This window comes from Homo sapiens, chromosome 17 (genome assembly GCF_000001405.40).
Source record: "Homo sapiens chromosome 17, GRCh38.p14 Primary Assembly".
NCBI lineage: Eukaryota > Metazoa > Chordata > Mammalia > Primates > Hominidae > Homo > Homo sapiens.
The window spans coordinates 37439526-37455357 of record NC_000017.11 but is presented as its reverse complement, the minus strand read 5'-3'; the positions used below and the strand labels follow the sequence as shown (position 1 = coordinate 37455357).

Sequence of the window (15832 nt, the reverse complement as noted above, 5' to 3'; positions counted from 1 at the left end):
ACTTCAGAAGCAAAAAACTCCCACAGGTTTTTTTTTTTTTTTTAATAACCAGAAGACCTCTAGGGTTAAGAAATGAATGCCAGATAGTAACAACGCTAGAAGAAAATATGAGTAATGCAAAACTTGGCACTATGCTACATTAAACCTTTCTTCTCACTTATGGATCCTGAAAGCACCTTGAGATTGAATGATTGCAATAGAATCTGAAATTTTCTTAATAAGTTATCAATTAAGCTTTGTGTAAGTTGAGAGTTTGGTGTTTTTTGTTTTAATTACTGAATGTATTTGTGGAAGAGGCTCTATAGCACAATATAACCTGCCACGTGTCCTCTGAAAAACTAAAATACGTTATTCAAATGTTAGGTAATATAATTTATATTTTTCTACAGTCCAATCTTTAAGAATCTGATCTGCCAACTTGGTGTTTTGAACCACCTCGGGGAGCTGACACTTTCACAGGCTTCACCATCTTTTGTGTAGATGCTGCCTTAGCAGCAGCCATTGCGGTCTTTTCAGATGCTAGCTTAGCCTTTTTTGCTTCCTTAGCAGCCCTGCTAGCTTGTTTTCATTGAGCCTTTTTAACTTCATGTTTCTCATTCCTCTTGGCCACTATATTAGCAAGAGATGCACCAGTAATGGCCTTCTGGAATTTGACTGCTCAGCAGGTTCTTTTCTTTTGAATTTCTTCCAAGTGTCCCTTTTTTATGCTTTCTTCTGTAGAGGACCAGTTTATTTGCTAAGGATTCCTTAGAAAGGAATGCCCTTGGCCAGGCACAGTGGCTCACGCCTATAATCCCAGCACTTTGGGAGGCCGAGGCAGGTGGATCATGAGGTCAGGAATTCAAGACCAGCCTGGCCAACAAGGTGAAACCCTGTCTCTACTAAAAATACAAAAATTAGCCGGATGTGGTAGCAGGCGCCTGTAATCCCAGCTACTCAGGAGGCTGAGGCAGAGAATTGCTTGAACGCGGGAGGCGGAGATGGCAGTAAGCCGAGATCACGCCACTGCACTCCAGCCTGGGCAACAGAGCAAGACTCCAAAAAAAAAAAAAAAAAAAGAAAGAAAGAAAGTAATGCCCTCGCATTTTGCACTAAGGAACTAGAAAACCTTCCCATCGGTCCTGGCATAGCGCCTCTTGTGTCTGGGGTAGATCTTGTACCTGCTGAAACTGCATAGCTCAACTTTCAGGGCAGAAGCTCCAGAGGCTCAATGTTAGGTAATTTCTAATAACATACCAACCTTTGTAACAAAGAATTTGGCTACGTATTAGAATCAGTTCTTTCAGCCAGGCACGATGGCTCACGCCTCTAATCCCAGCACTTTGGGAGGCCGAGGTGGGTGGATCACCTGAGGTCAAGGAGTTCAAGACCAGCCTGGCCAACATGGTGAAACCCTGTCTCTACTAAAAAATACAAAAAATTAGCTGGGTGTGGTAGCGGACACCTGTAATCCCAGCTACTCAGGAGGCTGAGGCAGGAGAATCTCTTGAACCCAGAAGGCAGAGGTTGCAGTGAGCCGAGATCACACCACTGCACTCCAGCCTGGGCAACAAGAGTAAAACTCTGTCTCAAAAAAAAAAAAAAAAAAAAAAAAAAAATCAGTTATTTCAAGGTAGTAAGCTTCAATCCAAAATAGAGCCTAAAGCCTCTGGAATGCTGATTAACTCTGAAGAGTAATACAATCTCATTCCTCATCCAAAGAATGTGAGATCCAAGTTCCAGTTTAGCCCATGAGGGCAATAAGTCAACACATTATTTACATGTTCTACTACAGTAAGTTTTAAACTGTATGTTCAAATAAAATCTTATTTGGAACAGATAAGTCAGATCTGCTCTAGCTGAACCCCTTCTGCCTGTTCTAGCTCCAGCTGCCTTTCCCAGAAGTAGTCCCTGAAGGTGCCTCCATGGAACAACTGGAAGCCACACTTCTGCTGGAAGTAGATGTTAGGGTAGAAAAAAAGTGGGACCAATCAAGTAAAAGAACAGAATACGATGGCTCATTAGAATCAATAATTTCTTTTATTACATGAAAGCAAACAAAAATTGAGCAATGTACAATGCTGATGCACTGTTAATAACCCTGATAATAGAGATAAATTCTGATACCACATACTGACTCATTACTGTGCATCTCACTGCTACCTGCCCTTAAGATACTCTCTTTTTCTTTTCTCTCTCTCTCTACATGTTCTCATCTGAAGGATATTCTTAGACTGGAAAGTTCAATACCAAAATCTTACATGCTGGGCTATGAGCAGATGTCCTATATATATGTATGTAACTTCAATCACTGGGAGATGTCCAGGAGTACTTTATCCAGGTCATTCTCCCTTGGGTCTGAGATAAAAATAACCTAAGTCCTATCTGGATAATCTGAAGAAGGGAGGAAATGCAGTATTTTTAAAAGTTTAGGGTAAAAAAGAAAAATTAACTACCATGGATTCTTTTTGTTCATTTCTAACAAGTTCAAATATTTAAACATTGGTTTACTTTTCCTTATCCTGCCCACAAACTAAAAATAATTCAATACTGTCAGGTCCAAGATTTAAGGCAATAGTTTTCAAACTCTTTTTTTTTTTTAGGTAGCAGAACTCTTTCTACAAATGAAATATTTCTTGATTTATAGGGTTGCTACATATAAAAGTCCAGATATCATAGAATGCCTATACCTGTCACTGTTTTATAACACAGTTGCTGTGGAATGATGGGCTTTAGAATGTTATGCTGGTGGAGATGCACTTTACAAGCCTATGTGGTAGAAGTGGTGGGTAGAAACAAGGATAGGAAGTGCCTCTGACATACAGTATAACCAAATACAAGTTTTATAGTGGACTCTATCTCTTAAGAGAAAGGAAGGATTAGGAAGTCAACAGTTAAAGCCAGAAAGGGAAACAAATACAATAATGATAGCTAAAACACACTGAGTACTTACCATATTTCAGGATCTTTTTTTTTGAGATGGAGTCTCGCTCTGTCTCCCAGGCTGGAGTGCAGTGGCATGATCTCAGCTCACTGCAACCTCCACCTCCCAGGTTCAAGCCATTCTCCTGCCTCAGCCTCCCAAGTAACTGGGATTACAGGTGCACGCCACCATACCCAGCTAATTTTTGTATTTTTAGTAGAGATGGGGTTTTGCCACATTGGCCAGGGTGGTCTGCAACTCCTGACCTCAAGTGATCCACCGCCTTGGCCTCCCAAAGTGCTGGGAATACAGGTGTGAGCCATCGCGCCTGGCCATATTTCAAGATCTTTATAAGCCTTATCTCATTTATCTACTCAGTAAGATGAATTTAATAGGAAAGAAAATGTCTTGAAGAGCCAGTAAAATTACTGCTAATTTTAACAAAACATTTTTGTGATTTATTTTTTATTTTTGAGACAGTTTTGCTCTTGTCGCCCAGGCTGGAGTGCAACAGCGCAGTCTTGGCTCACTGCAACCTCTGTCTCCCAGGCTCAAGCAATTCTCCTGCCCCTGCCTCCCAAGTAGCTGGGATTACAGGTGCCCACCACCATGTCTGGCTAATTTTTGTATTTTTAGTAGAGACGGGGTTTCACCGTGTTGGCCAGGCTGATCTCAAACTCCTGACCTCAGGTGATCTGCCCGTCTCGGCCTCCCAAAGTGCTGGGATTACAGGCATGAGCCACTGCGCCAGGCCCATTTCTGCGATTTTTGTAAGATACAAGATGCCATGTTGTTTCCTGAGATTTGTGTAGGAGTGATTTAATTTTTAAAAAAGGCCAGGCATGGTGGCTCACACCTGTAATCCCAGCACTTTGAGAAACTGAGGTGGGCAGATGGGTTGAGCTTAGGAGTTCGAGACCAGCCTGGGCAACATAGTGAAACCCTGTCTCTACAAAAATGTACCAAAAATATAGCCAGACATGGTGGTATGTGCCTGTAGTCCCAGCTACTTGGGAGGCTGAGGTGGGAGGATTGCTATAGCCTGGGAGGCAGAGGCTGTGGTGAGCTAAGATTGCACCACTGCACTCCAACCTGGGCTACAGAGGGCGTCTCAAAAAAAAAAAAAAAGCCAAAAAACAAAAAAACCTGTAATCCCAGACTTTGGGAGGCTGAGGTGGGAGGATCGCTTGAGGCCAGGAGTTTTGAGACCAGCCTGGGTAACACATTGAGATTCTGTCTCTACAAAAATTTTTTTTATAAATTAGCCAAGTGTGGTGGCGTGTGCCTGTTGTCCTAGCTACTTGTGAGGCTAAGGCGGAAGGATCATTTGAGCCCAGGAATTCAAGGCTACAGTGAGCTAAAGATTGTACCACTGCATTCCATCCTGGGCAACAGAATGAGACTCTGTTTCTTTTAAAAAAAAAAGCCTCTGAATAAATACTGCTGATAATTGGTACTACAGTTTGATCACTTCAGTAGTTTAAACTTGTACAACTGGCTCTGGAGAACAAAAGGAAGAAAAGAAACACATAGGAGCAAATGGGAGGAGAACTGGAATTCTCCCAGATAAAAATTCATATTTGAAGCTATCTCTGAGCACACTCAGCAGCAACTGAATACAATATCTTAACTGTATGAATAACCTAGGGAGGACAACAGCACAGCAGGCAGAACAGAAATGAGAAGGCAGAATCTACAAGAATGAGAATCACTTGCTCACAGTCTACTTAAAGCAGCTGGAAGCTGCAGTATAAGCTAGCAAACAGAGAACCAGAGATCATTAAAAATAAACAAACAAACCAAAATCACCTGTAATTTGTCCATTGCTACAAGGCCCCTGAAATCTCAGCTTTGGGGGAAGCACAGTCTCCCTGTGATTACACTGGAGAATGATAAAGTTTCCAAACGGCTAGCCTTAAAATATTTCAAGAAGTGGGCAGAAGTCAGAGGCAGCTCCTTCCCACTGCAATGTATTTCTAACATTGTTCAAAATAGCTAACAACATGTTTCTGTTTTCTTGACAGAAGGCACTTACTGCTTGCTTGGCAAGAAAACCAACTCAGAGGCCTTAACTGCAGGGAGGCCAATCAAAATCCCTACTGCGACCAAACAAGTAGAAACCTGTGACACAGGTATTCCCCAGAAGCAACACTATTTAAGTCATTTCCCCCCAAGCTTTTGGCCAAGATGCACACAAACAATTTTGTGCAGGGAAGATCATGTGATCTAATGGCTAAAGTAAGCAACCAGGAAGCATTAGGCCAAGCTTATCCAACCTGTCGCTCGTGAGTCACATGCAGCCCAGGACGGCTTTGAATGCAGCGCAATACAAATTCGTAAACTTTTTTAAGACATTATGAGTTTGTTTGTTTTTTATTCCTTAGCTCATCAGCTATCGTTAATGTATTTTATGTGTGGCCCAGGACACTTCTTCTTCCAGTGTGGGCCAGGGAAGCCAAAAGATTGACACCCCTGGATTAGGCAAATTACTTAACTTCTTTGTCTGCTTCCCTGAATGTAAAACAGGAAAATATCTATTCCTCAGGAATGTGTTGAAGCTATAGAAGATAACAAATGTGAAACCTCACAAAAATGAAACAGCAACAAACATTCAAGGTTGAGCCTGAGCAACATAGTGAGACCCTGTCTCTACAAAAAAATTTTAAAAATTAGCCAGGTGTGATGGTGCACGCCTGGAGTCCCAGCTACTCAGGTAGCTGAGGTGGGAGGATAGTTTGAGCCCAGGAGGTTGAGGCTGCAGTGAGCCATGATTGTGCCACTGCACTCCAGCATGGGCAACAGGGCGTGACCCTGTCTCAAAAAAAAAAAAAAAAAATCAAGATTGTAAAGACAGCTAAGTATTGTACAGTATTAAGAACACAGACTTGGGGATGACTCTACCTCTTGCTGGCTGTATGATCTCAGGCAAGTTATCTAACCTTTCTATGCTTCAATGTCCTCATCCACAAAAATGAGGATAATAATAATATGCAACTCATAAGGTTTTGAGGATTAAATGACTTAATATATATGAAGAGCTTAGAATGGTAACTAATAGTAAATGCTATATGTATTAGCAATTATTACTGATAGTATTCATGTCTAAAATATCCTATGTATAAAACAGTGAAATCAGGCCGGGCACGGTGGCTCACGCCTGTAATCCCAGCACTTTGGGAGGCTGAGGCGGGTGGACCATGAGGTCAGGAGATCGAGACTATCCTGGCTAACATGGTGAAACCCCGTCTCTACTAAAAAATACAAAAAATTAGCCAGGCATGGTGGCGGGTGCCTGTAGTCCCAGCTACTCGGGAGGCTGAGGCAGGAGAATGGCGTGAACCCAGGAGGCGGAGCTTGCAGCGAGCCAAGATCGCGCCACTGCACTCCAGCCTAGGCGATAGAGCGAGACTCCGTCTCAAAAAAAATAAAAAAAAAAAACAGTGAAATCACTATAAGTGAAAGGAACTGCCAGTAGGTGAATATACAGAGACCAGGCTGGACCTCTGCTCTACTAATTGTTAAAGGATTTAAAGGCTAATAATATGTGCCAAAGAAATACAATTTGAAAAATACAGTGAAAGGTGAAGGGGTCCACAGATCCAAGCCTAGGAGAGAAAACTTTCTAAAATTACCTTTCCAGAACAGAGGGAGAAGAAATTGTGAACTGTACTAAGGTGCAACCCTGAGAAGTACTGGAAACACAGACCCAACACATAGGAGGAGCTCATCATATCTCTTGCTTGCCTGGGTTATGGGGCAACAATGACTTGGAAGACATTACAACCAGGACTTTAGGATCCTGAGAAACTCAGGGAAAGAGTACTCTAAAAATTTAGGAAGAATTTTTACAAATGAAAGGAGATGGGGAAAGAGATGGCAGCAAGAAGGAACTACACTAAGCATGTGCATTGAGATCTCACAACATACATGAGACAAGACAGTTCTAAGATATGAGTCTTCTCTCTCTCTCTTTCTGAACCAAACATTTCTGCTTATTTCAATAAAATATGAGTAAGTACCAATTAGGGATCACGGAACTTCCTTATTTTTCCTTGGATACTGCTTCACTTGCAGTATACATTTGAAATACATTCTGAAAGCCTTCTGGTATGGCTGCAATACAATTATCCCTCCATTGTGTCCCAGGTCTCTATAATGAACCATGCAAACCAAATTTATTAAACAAATTCCATGATTCAAGGCAAAAATCTTTGTGTGGGTGAGGAAAAGGTCTTGGTGGCATCAGCCAATATTCTGGATAGGTTCTAAATACAAAACCCAGCCAAACAGTCTGCAACCTTCCAGTAGTTCTAAATGAGGAACCATAAAAATAATGTTGTTAATGCTCAGTAATATTAAGAGCATAATGGTATAATGGAATGGTAACAACACAAATCTGAATTATGTACCATGTTTCATTAGAGACATTTACACTCTGACTAATCAGTGTCACCTCTTCTTTAATGGCAGAGGACATAAAGAAACAGCAAGCAAGATTCCAAGCACTTACTCATGATTATACCATGACTCAGAAGCAAGCCAGAGGCTGAATCAGTGTCCTGATTTCTACAAAATCTGTGCCCCTCTAACTGTTCCAGGTGTGCTTATAAAGCCCCTTTTCATTCCTTCCTGACTTTCCATGGGCTCCTAGTGCACTTCACTGAGTGTTCTGCGAGTGACAGCTCAGGGACAATATGCTCCTGGACATGGTCATGCTGCCACAGGAGCTGCTGTAAAGACTCAGAGCTGTAAACAAAATACCTCTCTGTGGCATGAGCAAGTCATTCCTTTGGTCTGTAGTGCTGACAAGCTTCTTTAAACTGTTATCATCTTTTTTATTTTTTAGAGGTGGGGGGTCTCACTTTGTTGTCTAGGCTGACCTTGAATTCCTGGGCTCAAGAAATCCTCCCACTTTGGCCTCCCAAAGTGTTAGGATTACAGGTGTGAGCCAACCATACCCAAATCTGAAGTGTTATCATCTTTTTAAAAGCATTCATTTAGGGCCGGACGCGGTGGCTAACCCCTGTAATCCCAGCACTTTGGGAGGCAGAGGTGGGCAGATCAGTTGAGGCCAAGAGTTTGAGACCAGCCTTGCAAACATGGCAAAACCCTCTCTCTACTAAAAATATAAAAATTAGCTGGGCATGGTGGCGCTAATCCCAGCTATGCCAGAGGCTGAGGCACGAGAATCGCTTGAGCCTGGGAGGCAGAAGTTGCAGTGAGCCAAGATCACGCTACTGCGCTCCCGCCTGGCTAACAAGGTGAGAGTCTGTCACAAAAAAAATAAAAAATAAAAGCACTCATCTAAACATCTTACAGTTTACTATGGGGCAGAGGGAAAGAATTATTATTTATGTTGTGTTAAAGCTAACTATGTATAAAGATTAATAACATAAGTTCCAGTTATAGCTCAAATGAAAATCAATAATTTACAGGGCTATAGAAACTTCAGGGAGAGTACAAATACCTAAAGTATGTTATGGGTTTGAAAAGCTAACTGAACTATAAATTGCTGATCAATCAGTTGCTTCTGTTTCTTTTTATCCCCACTTAATTACAAAAAGGACCCCAAGTGAACCAGAAGGAACTGCAAGTCCTACTCCCATGAAGAATGAAGAATGAAATTAAACACCGACCATTACTATAGTTTTCTTAATAATGTTGAGAAGTATGAATGAAGACCTTGGATTAGGCTCTAGAGAAGTGATTCACCAAGTCAAGCCATTATTAACATTATAGATGTTGACTTTAAAATTCTGTAAAAAATAAATATATAGGTAAAAATAAAAAGCAGGGAGGAGGAGGAGGAAAAACAATAATAATATTTTAAAAATTTGTTTTAAAGGTTTTTTTTTTTAGAGACAGGGTCTCACTGTGTTGCCCAGGCTGGTCTTGAACTCTCGGCCTCAAGTGATCAGCCAGCCTCGGCCTCCCAAAGTGCTAGGATTATAGGTGTGACCCACCATGCCCAGCCAAAAATTTGGTATTTTTGAGCAGAATCTAAAAGAATGATATTTATGAAGCTGCCCCTTTTGTGCAGAGTAGTCTGGCATTCTATAAGAAAGATACAAGCCAGAAAACAATACCATTTCAATTAAAGCTGGTGTCTATGAATGGCAGTCTGCATACTACCTTCAAAGGGAACACCACAAGAGGTGAGAAAAGATAACATGAGTCACTGGGATTGACGAGACTGACACGGAAGACTGAACAAATACAATGGATTTAGTTAATGCTAAAGTAGTTTGCTTTCAAGCTTTCCTCTTTTAGTTCAATCTGCGTCACTTTGACTTTCCTTAAAGTTGTGTGGGAGAAAAGGAGGAATAAAATGTTGCCAAAAAAAAAAAAAAAACCCCCCCAAAAAAAAACCCACCGCTCAAGAAATGTGTAGAGAAAAATTTCTTAAGGTAAAATTTTTAGGAAGACTATTTCTTTATCTTAGATCTGGTATAACAAATATCCAGGCAGCTCTTCTATGGAGAGAAAAGAATCAAGTTCCCCTTCTAGGGACAGTGTACCAGTCCATGCAATATGAAAACTTGATTTATAATTTAACAAGTATACTCTACTTGTCTTTCCTGCCTGGGATGTAAATTTAACAGAAATCATGAAGATGCTCTTTGGGAAATACAGATTCCAATAGAGAATTACTGATCTACTGTATCATATTCAATTCTGAACTAAAATTAAAAAAAAAGTATTGGGTATTATTATGTAGTATTAGTATATATTAGTATGTAGTTCACTGAAAATGGAAAGAAGGAAAAAAGGGACTCAAAGTCTAACTATCTACTCTTAACAGCTCTTTGGCATTCACCACATAAGTTTTAGGAAAAGAGTTAACATAAACCCTTAGAGGGCTAATCAAAGATTAGAATTCAGCAATGCTGGGGCAGGCGTGGTGGTTCACGCCTGTAATCCCAGCACTTTGGGAAGCTGAGGCGGGCAGATCACTTGAGGTTAGGAGTTGCAGACCAGCCTGGCCAACATGGCGAAACCCCATCTCTAATAAAAAAACAAAAATTAGCTGGGCATGGTGGCAAACACCTGTAATCCCAGCTACTTGGGAGGCTGAGGCAGGAGAATCCCTTGAACCTGGGAGACAGAGGTTGCAGTGAGCCAAGATCGCGCCACTGCACTCCAGCCTGTGTAACAGAGTGAGACTCCGTCTCAAAAACAAACATAAAAAAGAATCCAGCAGTGTTGAAAATTCAACAGTCCTGAGAAACAAGAAATTCCCCATTTGGGCCTAAAAACTCTTGAGGAATTTCCATTCTTTTTCCTTGCTAGGGGAAATTCCGGGTAACAAAATATAGTGAACATTTAGTGATAGCAGTTGCTAGTGAAGTCCCAAGAATTCAAACTGATTCCCTTCCTTCTAAGAATGCAAGTGAGGGCCATTTAACCAATTACCTTAGTGTAGATTTACCTCAGATAAAAGTAAAATCACACAGTCCAACAGATATTTCCTACTACTATTATATAATCAATATTTTTACCCTCATCACAAGTCTTATTCACTGTGGTCAAAATCCAACAACACAGTAAGTTCAGCAACTTAACCACTAGATTTCTGAATTCTATAAGGGCAGGGGACATGTTCTATTCATCCTTCAATTCCTAGCACCCAAGACAGTGTCATCACACAGTTGGCGCTCGATAAACATTTGACAAAATAAACTGTTACCATGTAAAATGTCCGAGTCATCTTCAACAAAATCAATGTCTCTCAAGTCCCATTCTGCATAATTGTCAAATTCCTGTTTAGGGGAACAAAAAAATCCCCACCCCAAACCCATCGGCTTTGATTAGTGTCTTTACAGCAGCCATGCTTTAGAAGTAAACAGAAAAAACACAAGCAAACAGTTGTTTAAAAAGTCTAAATATGGCAAAAGGCCACAATACTGGCACAGGTAATAGGAAGTCATGGGAAAAATCTAAGAGGCTTACAAGCAGTAGTGACAACAAAAAATTGGAATAGTTATGAGTTTAGGAATGAAGCTAAACATACTGCTCTAAAAACTAAAATTAGTCTGAGCTGGGCACAGTAGCATGCACCTATAATCCCAGCTACTCAGGAGATTTAGGTGGAAAAATCACTTGAGACCAGGAGTTCAAGACTGCCTGGGAAACAGAGCAAGAGCCTGTCTCTGAAATAAATAAATAAAGTCAATTCATTCTTTTTTTTTTTTTTTTGGAAACAGGGTCTTACTCTGTCACTCAGGCTGGAGTGCAGTGGTGTGATCTTGGCTCACTGCAGCCTCGAACCCCCAGGCTCAAGTGATCCTCTTGCCTCAGCCTCTCAAGCAGCTGGGTCTACAGGCATGTGCCATCACACTCAAGTTAATTTTTGGTTTCGGGTTTTTTTTGTTGTTGTTGTTGAAGAAACAGCGTTTTGCCATGTTGCCCAGGCTGGTCTCAAACTCCTGAGCTCAAGCAATCCGCCTGCCTCAGCCTCCCAAAGTGCTGGGATTTACAGGTGTAAGCTACCGCATTTGGCCAAACTATCTTTCAAGTTGTGAATTAGATGATAAATCAAGAGACTTGTGGCTACATTCACATGTCTTTTAATTCCATAGCTGAGCAAGGAACATATAGTTTTTATACACATTCATCATTCTTTATATACTTGTGGATATAGTACAGGAATCAGTAAACTACTATTCAGCCTACTGTCTGTTTTTGTACATAAAGTTTTACTGGAACACAGGCGTATTCATTTATTCTTATATTATCCCATGCTGCTTTAGCACAATAATGACAAAGTATAGTTACAATAGAAACTTTATAGCATACTAAACCTAAAATATTTACTATCTGGCCTTTAATAGAATAAGTTTGTCAACCCCTGATACAGTACAATCTTGAAAGCCCCTAGATGTACAATAAGAACCAGACTACAAGCCAGGTGCAGTGGCTCACGCCTGTAATCCTAGCACTTTGGGAGGCCGAGGCTGGTGGATTGCCTGAGGTCAGGAGTTTGAGACCAGCCTGGCCAACATGGTGAAACCCTATCTCTACTAAAAATACAAAAATTAGCCAGGCATGGTGGCAGGAACCTGTAGTCTCAGCTACTTGGGAGGCTGAGACAGGAGAATCGCTTGAACCCAGGAAGTGGAGGTTGCAATGGGCCAAGACCATGCCATTGCACTCCAGCCTGGGCAACAAGAGCAAAAACTCTGTCTCAAAAAAAAAAAAAAAGAACCAGACTATAGGAATTTCATACCTAAGGAAGTGGAAGCCAGCACTGATGCAACTTAAGAGGTGGGTTTGCTGGGGTTTTTTTGTTTTTTGGAGACAGGGTCTTACTCTGTTGTCTAGGGTGCAGTTTAGTGGAATGATCACCACTCGCTACAGCCTTAACCTCCCAGGCTCAAGTGATCCTCCCATATCAGCCTGCCAAGTAGTTGGGACTACAGGCATGCACCACCACACCCAGCTAATTTTTTATTTTTTGTAGAGACAGGGTCTCACTACGTTGCCCAGGCTAGTCTCGAACACCTGGACTCAAGCGATCCTCCATTCTCAGCTCCCAAAGTGCTGGGATTACAGGTGTAAGCCACTGAGCCTGGCCAGAAATAGGTTGTTTGTTTAAAGAATTTTTACTGTTCCATATGTGAAAATGTTTACAAATGAGAAAAGGCACTCAAACCTAAGAAAATGTGGCTGCCTAAAGGTCCTACAAATTATAGTGCCTTGAAAAATCTCCTTTTAGTGGTATGGAATCTATGGGTGAGACAGAAGGCTCATGAGAAACAAAAATGAATTTTTCCTACTTTGTGCTAAAAACACATTTATCCTACCTCAATGAAATCTGCTCGAGCTGGCATGTACCCGGCCATGTCCCGAGAAAGCAAGGAGTCAAAGGTAGGTCGGGGAGGGTCATCTGTAGCTGGAAGAATTTAGAAGGTTTCTGAGTTAACTAATACAATATTGGCATGAAAAAAATGACATAATAGTCCAAGAATAAATAAAATTTAAAATGGTTTTTATAAAAGGAAATGTGAAAAAGATAAAGTATTATGAAAACAGGTTTTTTAAAAAGAAAAACCAAGACTCAGGCAATCCTTTAAGTAAATATGGGGAAATTTCTTCTGATTTCTGCTTTCCTAAAATGAAAGGAAATCATGACTTTTTTCCTTTAATATTACAGAACCTAAATATTTACCGTTGGCTTCGGCTCCCTTATCCCTTAGGATGAACTTCAATTTACAAAACTCATCCAACTGAGAGGCAAAAAAAAAAAAAAAAAAAAAAGACGGGAAAAAAACAAACACTGGAATTGGAAGTTAGCTGAAATTAAGTCCTAGCTCCAACACACACTAGTCCCATGACCCTGCACAAACTAACCTGTCTGCATCGGTCTTCTCGAATGTAAAACAAAAGCACTTGCTCTGCCTATCTCACTGGGTTGCTGTTAGGAAACAAATGGTCTAATGGATTTGAGAACAAAGTGCTAACACCAAAGTGCTATCCAAATAGGAGGTATCAACCAGGCACGGTGGCTCACACCTGTAATCCCAACACTTTGGGAGGCCGAGGCGGGCAGATCATAAGGTCAGGAGTTCGAGACCAGCCTCGCCAACACAGCAAAACCTTTTCTCTACTAAAAATACAAAAAATTAGCCAGGTGTGGTGGCATGCACCTGTGGTACCAGCTACTCAGGAGGCTGAGGCACGAGAATCGTTTGAACCCTGGAGGTGGAGGTTGCAGTAAGCCGAGGTTGTGCCACTGCACTCCAGCCTGGGAGACACAGCGAGACTCTGTCTCCAAAAAAAAAAAAAAAGGAGGTATTACCAGCCTTTAAGTTAGTCAGCTATAAAACTGTTTCTAGAGAGTATGAGGAAAGAGAAAAGGGAAGTGAAAACATTCATATCTCATTACTTGTACCCTGAGAGTCATTCAGGAAAGATGGTCATTTATAATTCATCATGTTTTTGGTTATATTTTATTAAGAGACCCACTGGTCCCACACGCACATGAGATTAAAAAGTTCGCCATCACTGACACAACCAAGCGAACAAAAATAACAAACTGATTCTTGGGCTTGACACCAAGGCAATTAATAATAATGAGTCAAATACTGTATTCTCTAAGCAACTCATATGTATAATCATAAGCTCTCCAAAGGGATTGAAAAAAAACTTGCACTCATAATAGCATAGAAAAGGTTTTCCCTTTTTGACATCTTATTTTACAAAGGAAAGCACTAAGTTAACTGATATGTTCAAAGGACTCAAGGTAGGTGGAACTACACATTGGCTTCAAGCACCTTGATGTCCTGTATAGAACTCTGACCCTTAGAGTATGTTCCTTCTTTGCCACATTATAATCCTGACTCTTTTTTTTTTTTTTTTTAAGAGATGAAGTCTCACTCTGTCACCCAGGTTGGAGTGCAGTGATGTGATCTTGGCTCACTGCAATCTCCGCCTACCCGGTTCAAGTGATTCTCCTGCCTTGGCCTCCCCAGTAGCTGGGATTACAGGTGTCTGCCACCACGTCCAGCTAATCTTTATACTTTTAGTTGAGACAGGGTTTCGCCATGTTGGCCAGGCTGGTCTTGAACTCCTGGCCTCAAGTGATTTACCCGCCTCAGCCTCCCAAGGTGCTGGGATTACAGGCACAAGCCACCATGCTGGGTCGATCCTGACTCTCAATAGCTGCCATACTAACTCCTCCTATCTTCCGTGATATCATTAGCTGTCCAAGTCATCAAATCACTCTTTATCTGCTACTGAAACAGGGCCCAAGGATGAGCTAAGTATATCTTATCAAGATAGGGAGGCACTTACAGTGAAATGGAATGGCTGTGTCAGCAGTTTTTGCTTCCTCTGCTTGTTTCAGGTTCAGCAGGGTAGATGCAAACAGAGGGTTATTGATGAAATGCTTCATATAGTGCTTCTCACACTCCTCCTTGGTCTTGGTGCACATTTGATTGGCTACATCCTGCCTAGAGGATTGTGGGAAAAAGAGAGAAGTGGTACTTGTATTTACACATAATACTAAAAGCATCATTTGCTCTTTTCATATTTTAAGTCACATCCATATAATATACTCTCATATTTCCAAATTGATATCAAAAAGATATCAGCAGAAAAATGACATAAATATAAGCCTAGATTGGTGTAATCTGGTGTTCCATATCTTGCTAGTCTAAAACACAGAAATAATGACTAAAAAGTCCTTTCTTTTCCACTTAAAGAAAGATGACTGAGGCCAGGCGCAGTGGCTCACACCTGTAATCCCAGCACTTTGGGAGGTAGGTGGATCACCTGAGGTTGGGAGTTAGAGACCAGCCTGATCAACATGGAGAAACCCTGTCTCTACTAAAAATACAAAATTAGCCAGGCGTGGTGGTGCATGCATGCCTGTAATCCCAGCTACTTGGGAGGCTGAGGCAGGAGAATTGCTTGAACCCAGGAGGCAAAGGTTGCAGTGAGCAGAGATCACGCCATTGCACTCCAGTCTGGGCAACAAGAGCGAAACTCCATCTCAAAAAAAAAAAAAAATAATAAATAAATAAATAAATAAATAAATAAATAAATAAAGATGACTGGAAAATTTGTAAATTTTCCTGTGAGCTAGGCCCTACAGAAATAATTGCTGTAAATAATAAGAAGTGACTTCAGAACATTCAAAATATACAGAAATATAGTTTTATTTTGCCTAATATTTTACGGTTTACCAAACACTTAACATAAACATTTCTTTACTAGAGCTGCTATGAGATGCCAGACACTGAGCTAGAAACATTCACAACAGAATTTAAGTTAAACCTAGTATCAAATTTGTGGTATGGATATTGTTACTATCTCAATTTCAAAGAAGGAAAAATGAGGCCCAAAATAATTAAGAAACTTGCTTAAGAATCTGGCCAGGCATGGTGGGGCACATCTGTTATTCCAGCACTTTGGGAGGCCAAGGTGGGA

The 15832-nt window shown here is 41.0% G+C and overlaps 1 protein-coding gene and 1 pseudogene across 13 annotated transcripts in view, besides 1 other annotated feature; both read right to left on the bottom strand.

The window, feature by feature from the left end:
- Window positions 1-15832, bottom strand: part of TADA2A (transcriptional adaptor 2A) — a 72840-nt gene that overhangs the window by 24368 nt on the left and 32640 nt on the right. For 11 of the 13 annotated variants that reach the window (NM_001166105.3, XM_017024981.2, NM_001291918.2 and 8 more), the window contains 3 exons: window positions 14696-14853; window positions 12706-12794; window positions 10590-10662 (listed from right to left, as the gene is read on the bottom strand). In NM_001166105.3, coding sequence (NP_001159577.2) covers window positions 10590-10662; window positions 12706-12794; window positions 14696-14853 — 320 coding nt within the window. The remainder of the gene's footprint in view (window positions 1-10589; window positions 10663-12705; window positions 12795-14695; window positions 14854-15832) is intronic. The other 2 variants (XM_017024982.1, XM_047436612.1) reach the window with 1 other exon arrangement.
- Window positions 385-1202, bottom strand: LOC100419621 (ribosomal protein L24 pseudogene; annotated as a pseudogene).
- Window positions 386-963: an enhancer, noted in NCBI's record as "NANOG hESC enhancer chr17:35814497-35815074 (GRCh37/hg19 assembly coordinates)". NCBI's record gives its function as "activates a minimal SCP1, AML or CMV promoter by ChIP-STARR-seq in primed H9 embryonic stem cells {active_cell/tissue: H9 hESC(primed)}" and the evidence as "EXISTENCE:reporter gene assay evidence [ECO:0000049][PMID:30033119]".